The sequence below is a fragment of the Homo sapiens genome, chromosome X (assembly GCF_000001405.40).
Source record: "Homo sapiens chromosome X, GRCh38.p14 Primary Assembly".
Lineage (NCBI taxonomy): Eukaryota > Metazoa > Chordata > Mammalia > Primates > Hominidae > Homo > Homo sapiens.
In genome coordinates this window covers 72997827-73006706 of record NC_000023.11, presented here as the reverse complement: position 1 = coordinate 73006706, position 8880 = coordinate 72997827, and the positions used below count along the sequence as shown (strand labels likewise).

At 49.4% G+C, this 8880-nt stretch overlaps 1 protein-coding gene and 1 long non-coding RNA gene across 2 annotated transcripts; one reads left to right on the top strand and one right to left on the bottom strand.

The window, feature by feature from the left end:
• Nucleotides 1–600: 600 nt before the first annotated feature.
• On the bottom strand, nucleotides 601–3768 carry PABPC1L2B (poly(A) binding protein cytoplasmic 1 like 2B). Its single transcript, NM_001042506.2, has one exon. It carries the CDS (start codon nucleotides 3062–3064, stop codon nucleotides 2462–2464), a length of 603 nt encoding a protein of 200 aa, NP_001035971.1. The 5' UTR covers nucleotides 3065–3768; the 3' UTR covers nucleotides 601–2461.
• An 82-nt stretch (nucleotides 3769–3850) lies between these two features.
• On the top strand, nucleotides 3851–8319 carry PABPC1L2B-AS1 (PABPC1L2B antisense RNA 1). The gene is made up of 4 exons (NR_110398.1): nucleotides 3851–4302; nucleotides 4384–4520; nucleotides 5382–5496; nucleotides 7857–8319. It is a non-coding gene; the product is annotated as a PABPC1L2B antisense RNA 1 (long non-coding RNA).
• The last annotated feature ends 561 nt before the right edge of the window (nucleotides 8320–8880 follow it).

The following is an 8880-nucleotide window of genomic DNA, read 5'->3' as shown; positions in this document are numbered from 1 at the left end:
GCTGTTGTGCATATATAATATGCATGTCTTTTTAAAGTAACGCACTTGTAAAATGAAATAATTTTTTAAACTACAAGCCTAAATAATTTCCCATAACTTAAAAAAATACTAACTTAAGAAGATGATCAAGGAAATATGCATTCTCTTACACTGTTGGAGGGAGTAAACTTTATGGAAGAAGCATTTGGCAAGAGAGCAAGGTATAAGGCAATTAAATATTTCTTGATGTCAGCAAACATTCAGCCCCAAATGTGTTATGGAAAAGCCATAACCATTTAACAATATATTGAGGGGCAGGATTTTAGAAATTATAATTCATCTGTAAAATGAAACACTAAGTAATTTGGAAAGATGGTAAGTAAGACTTCTCACACTGAAAATATACCACAATGAAACATACATCCTATATTACATTTTTGGAGGCATTAGTTATTTACATATATGTCTCAAATGCTTCAAAAGTTTTTTCTATTTTTGTCAAGTGGTAGAATTAAGAATGATTTTCAGTTTTTCCTTACCAATATTTTAAAAAATGCTTTTAGTATGATAATTATTGTCTGCATAAAGATGAATGTTTACAACAAATAGAAACAAAAAATCTCAAATTATAAATAATTTAATACCAAGTCTCAAAAACTGTACAGGTATCCAGGTACACTCACAATATCTGCATATTTTATGAGGGTAAATTGGTACTATCTTTATCAATGGTCACTTACTAAAGAAGGGAAAAAGAAGATTTTAAACCTCCCATATCTTTTCATCCTTCAATTATACTATTAACTTTTGTTCAGGAAATAAACATGAATGTAATGTTTGTGCACTGTGATCTTGTTGGCAGCTTTGGCTTGCATAAGAAAACAAAATGAAACAACCCAGACGTCCAATAACTACTTAAAACAAATATATCCCTATATCTATATCTAATATGTATATATATCTATCACTCTATGAAGCCCAATCACATATTAGAGCACTAAACATCCATGAAAACTATTTTAGAAGAATATTTAATGACATGAAAGTTCAAGAATATCTATAAATCTATGTCTATAATATATATTTCTGTGTGAAAAAGCAGATATTGAAACAGTATATACAATAATTTCACATATATATCACATGAAAAATACAGGGCAGATACAGATGAAAATGTTTCAGGAATGTATAAGTAATCATCAGAAATGATTACTGGTGACATTAATTTTCTTCTGTTAACTTGTCTGCTTCGTGATTATTTTTTTCCTGCAATGACGCTGAATTATTTTTCTGACAACAGGGAAAAGGACAGGAAGTGGGCACAGGGGAAGGGGGTAATAAACAGTGTTTGATTGCAGCAAAACCACTGAGGACAGGGAAACACCCTTTGCAGCCCGCCAAGCTGGCCAAGACACACACACAAAGACACACACACGCATGCACACACGCACGCACGCACACACACGATCAATTACAGTGACCAGGAGGCTATGCAGGGGAAACGGGCATACTCTTTACTAGCTGCGCTGGCCGGCACGAGTGCAAATCGGTACAATGCTTATGAAGGGGGCCTTTTGGCAACACACAGGAAAAGTCTTTAAAATGTCTATATGTGGATCTTGCAAGTCCGCAGTTAAGGAGACCACCGGGATGCTAGCAAAGATTTGGCTTGACAAGGAAGGATTCACTCATCAAAGCACAGAGCACGCAATGTTGGTCTTAAACACAGGGAAAGAACTAGGCACCACCTGAATGTCCAACAATGCGGGAATGATTACAGAAATGTTAAGGTCCACGGATACACTGGAGCACTCTGCAGGCACTGAAGATGACATTTCATAAGCCTGTTGATAACATGGAAAGAAGTTCAATGGGTTGATTTTTGTTTGGTTTTAGTTGCTGAAAAAGCAGGTTAAGAAACACCACATACATGAACCATTCTATAACGGTGTGTTAAAAGGGAAGGCGGGGTGGGGGTGAGCAAAGGAGAGAGAGGGAGAGAAGAGAGCCTGGAAAAGCAGCACACCAAAAAGGTAAAAGTGGTTCTCTCTGGGGAGTAGGACCAGGGGAGCAATTACTCTCTTGTTTCTTCCCTCATCTGATATCCTTCTCCTTTCTGATGATTCTACCATGAAATTGTACCACCTGTGCAGTAAACAAAGAGAGAATGAAAATGCTTTTTAAACCAAACCACAGGGAGAAGAGGCAGCCTTTAACCTACAAATGGCACAGATTAGTAAGATTATTCACAACGCCCTTGGTGGGGGTGGGCGGGGGAGAGGAAGGGAAGGAGAGGAGAGGTGGAGGGAGAAAATAGGAAGCGGGGAGAGAGAAGGGGAGAGAGAGAGAGAGAGAGACCTGCACTCTCAATACAATAAATACACTGCTGGTGGGTTGGCGGGGGAGGGCTGGGGGTGGGGGGTTGTAAACCGGGTGTGAGCCAAGGTTTGGCTCTGCTGGCTGGCTAGCTCCTGGGATGTCTTCATCGCAAGGTGGCCTCCTCGTCGGTGTCTTCCTCGAAATCCTTGACGTCAGCACTAGTGGACTGCCTGGCCCAGGCTCCCCTTTCGGCCTCTCGTTCTTTATGCGACTTGAATCTCCCGACGAAAATTTTGCGGTAGTTCAGGAACATGCCATTCATCACATCGATGGCCCGCTCCGCAGATTCCTGCTTTTGGAAGTGCACGAACCCGTAGCCCTTGGGCCCCTTTTCGTCACAGGCCACTTTGCAGGAGAGGATGTTGCCGAACGCCGAGAAGATGTTGTACAGCGCCTTGTTGTCGATGGTCTTGCCCAGGTTCTTGATGAAGACGTTGCCCACCCCGCTCTTGCGGAGCGACGGGTCCCTCTGGGACCACATGATGCGCACTGGCCTGCCCTTTATGACATCAAAGTTCAGGGTCTCCAGGGCCCGCTTGGCGTCCACCGGTTGCTGGTAGTTGACATACGCGTAGCCCAATGAGCGGCGGGTGATCTTGTCCCTGCAGATGCGGATGGAGAGGATGGGCCCAGCTGGACTGAACTTCTCGTACAGCATTGCCTCGGTCACCTCAGGGTGCAGGTCGCCCACGTACAGGGAGGCCATCTGAAAATCTGGGTTCCCCTCACAGTCACCGAGGGTCTCATCCGCATCTGCATCCGCGGCGGCCGCCGCAGCCGCCACCTCGGCCGCCACCTCGGCCGCCACCTTCGCATTCGCATCCGCATCCGCATCCGCATCCGCCTCCGCCTCCCCCAAGGGGGGCCCCGCAGCCTCCGCTGCGGCGGCGGCTTCGGCCGCGCTGCCCTCCGCCACCGCCACCACCGTTGCCACCCGGGCGGCCTCCGCCTCCCCCGGGGTGGCCTCCGATGCTGCCTCCTCTATTGAGGCCTCGGCCTCCACCTCAGCCTCTACCTCTGCTTCCGCCTCCGCCACGGAGGCCTCCGCCACCGCCTCTGCCACGGTCGCCGCCGCAGCCTCCGCCGCCGCCGCAGCCGCTGCCGCCACCGCCGCCGCCACTGTCGCTGCTGTCGCCACGGTCGCCGCTGCCGCCGGGCCGCTGCCGCGACCTCCCTTCCCGCGAGCTGGGGGACGGAGAGGCGGGGGAGGGCGGGAGGGCAGGAGGGCGGGTGGGTGCGGGAACACAGACCCGATGCGCGAGCGGGAGCTGGCGCAGGGGATCCGAACTGGCGAGTTCAAGTCACCTGGGATGGCAAGTGCTGCCAGGAGCGCGCCGGTGCGAGTCGCCGCAGCCTGCAGCCAGCTGCTGTTGCCGCCGCCGCTCGGTCGTGGGCTAGCGCGCAGGGTGCGGGGTGCGGGCGGGCAGGCGGCGTGTGGTGGGGGGCGGGGGGTGTTGGCGTCTGTCGTCCGGGCAGCTGGGAAGGCTTCTGTCTCTTTGGTTCCCCCTGTGGCTGCTGCGGGGCTGCGGGGCTGCGGGGCTGCGGGGCTGCGGGGCTGCGGGGCTGCGGGGCTGCGGGGCTGCGGGGCTGCGGGGCTGCCGGGCTGCGGGCGGTGGGAGATGACGGGGGTGGGAGCAGGAGCGGGAGCAGGGGCGGGAGCGGGAGCGGGAGTGGGAGTGCTCAGTCTCTCGGGTCGCCTGGATATTTATGAAAAGGACGCCAGGGAAAGGGCTCCGCTGTAGACCGAAGGGATAAGGGTTCGATTCAGAAGGGAGCGTTATTTTTATCCCCTCTCCACATAATGGAACGTTTAAATGGTTAAATCAAGTACCTTGCAGGAGAGGGTGGGGTGGCCTTGAGAATACACTCAAGGCCTCAGTACATGCAGTCTGGAAGTGGGGGAATCAAGAGCACCCTGTCTCTAGTACTGTCCTCAATGATAAGGTGAGGAAAGCCAAACCCAGGACTGGGAACAGGGCCTGGTCCAGAGCCAGGCGCTTGTTTATTCTTGACTCTGCTCTCAAGGCGCTGAGGTTCCCAACCTGGACCAAGAAGTACATATTCAGGTTCAAAGGATAAACCAAAACAAAACCTGAGCTCTCTCTCTAGAATGAAGTGCCTGGTCCCAGTTCACCATCTAATATTTATGGAAAGCTTATCAGGTACTTGGTGCTGGGGGCTAAGGGGCCCGCAATGTGGTAAGTGAGCAGGGACTGTTGATGTGTTGGAGGTGTGGAGCAGGGTGAGAAGAGGTGAGCAGTGTGTGTGTAGTGAGAGCAGAGAGGCCACACAGAGCCAAATGCTGGGGGTATAGACAAGGGAGCAACCATGAGAGTTGAGTGTAACAGAAGCTACAGTCCCACTTCCTCCAGAGAGGAGGACCAGCCACTAACTCTTCTTAGTAGCAATTAGGTGAGGCTGCACCAAAGACAGAACCACCGAGGTGGGCTCTGAAACATGAGGAGCAGTCCACCATGTCAAGGCAGGAAGGAAGGCACTCCAGGCAGAGGGATCAGTCTGTGCCCAAGGCCCTTTGTCATGAGAGCACATGCTTGGTCGCTTCTGGCCATGCCTAATAATCTGGCAGGGACAGAGCTCATGGTCTCCAAGAGCACATGGTAGCAGACAGGGCTGGAAGGTGTGGGGCCCTGAGAATCAAGCTAAGGTGCTTCGACTGTATACCCAAGGTCACGGGGACCACTCAGCATGTTCAAGGAGGGAAGCAGTATGATGAGAACTTTAGAATGAGTACAAATTAAACATCAATGTGCATGTATAAGTGCACATTTACATGTACACGCATGTACAAAACCAAGACAGGGCTGACAGAACACAAGGAAGAAAGTCAGATGTGACCAATTCAAAAAGAGTCTGAACAATCCTTCCCTCTATTCCTTTTCATTCCATAAATAGGGGTCTCACGTTTACCGTGAGCCAGTGGGGCCAGATGTTTAAAAAGAGAAAACCATAGTGCCTTCCCTCAGGATGCCTTCACTCTGCTAAAGCTCAGTCTGCCCCCACAGAGAACAGAAGTGTCAGCAGAGGACTGTAAGTGCTATGTGATTGGACGACGGTGGCCATAGAATTTCACCTGCCCAGCACGTATTCTCTCATCCTCTCCTCCTCTGCCTTCTTTGGGTAAGTAAAGCTGTTTTCTGTGGTTGCAGTGATGGCTGGATCTTGGCAGTCATACATGATAGAACAACCGTGAACCTGAGGAAGTGACTGAGTCACTGTGGGGTGCGAGGCAGTGAGAACTCTTCGTCGCTGGCTGGAAAGCATCCCAAGGTGGCTGAGAAGCAGATACACAGACATGTACCTCTCCAGCTTGCAAAGTCCAGCTCTCTGCCTCTAGGCAGGGCTAGTGCCGGCAAAGGCAAGGGACAGAGACCTAGGAAAAGCCTGCTGTACAGCGCATGCCTGACCAAGGTGATCACTGTCACCGCTGTTAAGAGCCATCTCCTGGGGGTCTAGGTTGCTTGCAGGCAGGGAGAAGATGAAGCTGTGCCTCACCATTTCCAGGTTGGTGTCCAAGAGGGACCTGAGAAGGCAGAGGCCAAGGGGGAAGCCATGCTCGCAGAGGGGTAGGGGATGTGGCGAGGATGAGAAGAGCTCCTCGGCCCATTGTTAGGAAACAGAAATGACAAGGAAGACCAAGTCGAGGACCAGGACTCAGCAAGATCTCTGTCTCTGGCGTTGCCTTCCAGTACACAGGGCCAACAGAAATCAGTGAAACAGCAGGAGAAGGAAGTTCAGGGAAGTCATGCTATGGCTAGCAAATCCCCAAACCTGAAAACAATTCCTAGGATCCTGAACCTCTAGCAACAGGAGCAGGGCTACCAAAGTGACAAGGACACAGCAGGGACTGCTCCCCAAGTCCTTTCTCAGGGGCTTCCATGGAGTCGAGTTTCCATCTCCTTTTTATTCTTTATTTTTAAAGTTACGTTGTGGTCAGTTTCTGCCACCTGCAAATGGAATGTGTTCTGACCACTACACACTGTGACAGGGGCAAAAATAAAGAGCCCTGTGGAGCCTCAATGGAGGGAGGGGAAGTTTCCTTTCCCGTGGGAGGAAGTGCTGTTGATTTTATTTATTCAGTGATTCAATGAATATTCCTGGAGGGTCTTCTATGTACCAAGTATTCTGCCGGCCAGACCGTCCCTGAACTCAGGGAGCTTATTTTCTAGTGGGGAGACAGACAATAGACAGATCAGGGAATATGAAAACAGTTAAAGGTTGCTATGAATGCTCTCGGGGACATAAACAAGATGATTTGGTACATATTGCCTAGAACCCCAGAAAAGTGGCAAAACGGGAGACATGAAGCTCAGGGAAGGCCTTTCTGAGGACAATGATAAGCCACCAGTCTTTCAAGGAACCAGGGGGGAAACCTGCCCAGCAGAGGGAAGGGCAATTCCCCTGGCCCTGTGGCAGAAAAGAGAGGGTGCTGGGGGTGGGGGTGGGGGCAGAAAGGATGCCAATGTTGCATGGAGCCCAGTGTGAGAGGGGATAGAGGAAGGAAAGGGAGGAAGGCGCAGTGGTGGGTGGTGCCATGATGAAGAGTCTGGTTCTTCTTCAGAGAGCTCAGGAGAGCCAGAGAAAGGATTGAAGCAGGTAGTAGCATAATCTAATGCCCATTCAGTGGTTTCTCTCTAGCTGCTCTGTGTGGGCAATATCACAAGTGGGCAGGGCACAAAGGAAAGCAGGGAGACCAGTTAGGAGGCTCTTGCAGTAGTCCAGTCCAGAGACAGCAGGGGCTTGGCCCAGACTGGAAGCATCAATGTGGAGACTAGTGTGTGGATTCACATGATATTTTGGAAGTGGAAGAGACAGCGCTTGTGAGTGGATTCGAGGCAATCTCAGAGGTCTATGTACGGTCATAGGAAAGACAGAGAGTGGGTGGGCATGGTAGATTTGGAGAAGGGAGAAAGACAGATGGGGGTGTGTGTCAAGAGCTCCTATTTGCACAGGTTTAGTTACTGAGGTCTGCTTGTCATCCATAGAGGCTGGAGAAACAGAATTGTTGAGACAACAGGACACAGTTAGGGTCTAAAGCCACAAAACTGAGTAGGATCACCTAGAGAGAGTATAGCCAGGAGAAGAAGGTGCAGGGCTACTCCCTGAGATACTCTGACACTTAGAAGTTGGGTGGGGAGCACAAGCCAGCAAAATAGATTCAGAAGGACTGGACAGTGAACAGGACTCCTCTCTAAGGCCTTGCATGTCCGAACATGTCCAAACTTCTCGCCAAGGCTTTTCATCACCAGCCTCAATATCCTCACTCAGACTCTGCTCTCAATGCTCCTAGCTGTACGTGCATGGGAGTTGGTTTAAAATGGGACAACAACGACTTTGTGTGCTTGGCTTTGGACTTCACTCTCTGATCATTTCTCAGTGGAGCTTTCAAAAGAGAGAGAGGTTCGGATGCAGAGAACTTCGAAGAGTGGGGTAGGCACTGCTCTGCTATTTCATGTGGCCCATCTCCTTTTTCCTTTCAGGAGGGAGAAATCAGAAGGAGTGGGGATGCAGTTCAGAGAGCAGAGGAGAAGAGAAGAAAAGAAGGAAGAAGGAAGAGGACTAGGGTTGGGTGGGGGGGGAGGACACCAATGGGAAGAGGGACAGATCAACTCTATACACAAAAGTAAATCAAAACACCAAAAACAGGGGTCTATGTAAAGAAGCCTCTTCCCGTGAATTGCTCGTTGCATAGCTGCAGGGAGGGTGTTTAGGGGCATAGAGAATGAAAACATACCTGTATTTTGGTGTAGGGAAATTGTTTCTGTCAATTCACACCGTCCACACACCACCTCCCACCCCAACCCCGCCACTACCAAATTCCTCTAAATAAAAATAATTATGAGATACAGGCCAACAAAAACGTCAGCGTTAGGCTGTTATTTAGAGAGAATTGGAAAGCGTTTGAATGTGGCCCTGTTGTTTAATAAACGATAACAATGATTACTAAGTTGTCCTGAGTCAATACAACAAATTTAGCAAATGGTCCTTTGGGTCCTTATAAAGTGAAGAGTTGACGGAGACAGATTTGTATATGGGGCAGGGATGGAATGGTAGTCAGTCCTGGAGAAATAAGAACCCCGGGAGGTGATGAAATATGTACAAGTATGTTTATCACAGAAACACTCATATTGGGCAAATCAGGGCACAAAGCAAGTATGCATCAGGTGAGGAGTGACTGATACATTGGCAGTGCAGCCATTCTGAGGATTATTATGCAACCATTAACAAGTATGAGTTATCTCTATATAAGCTGATTTAAGGGGATTTCCAGAATGTGCTATTACCAGGCGAGAAAAGCAGGTTTGTTGTCATTTTGGTGCAAACAAAAGGAGATGGGCCTTGGAGTCAGATTGACTAGTAGGCTGAATTTCAGAGCAAAACACTTAACCATTCTTGAGCCTCAGTGTGTGCTCAGAGTTTGAATTTCAGAAACCCTAATTAAGCATCTTACAAATTTCATTTGTGACAAGCAGTTTTGCCCCAGCTCTGCTTAGAAACCGAGCC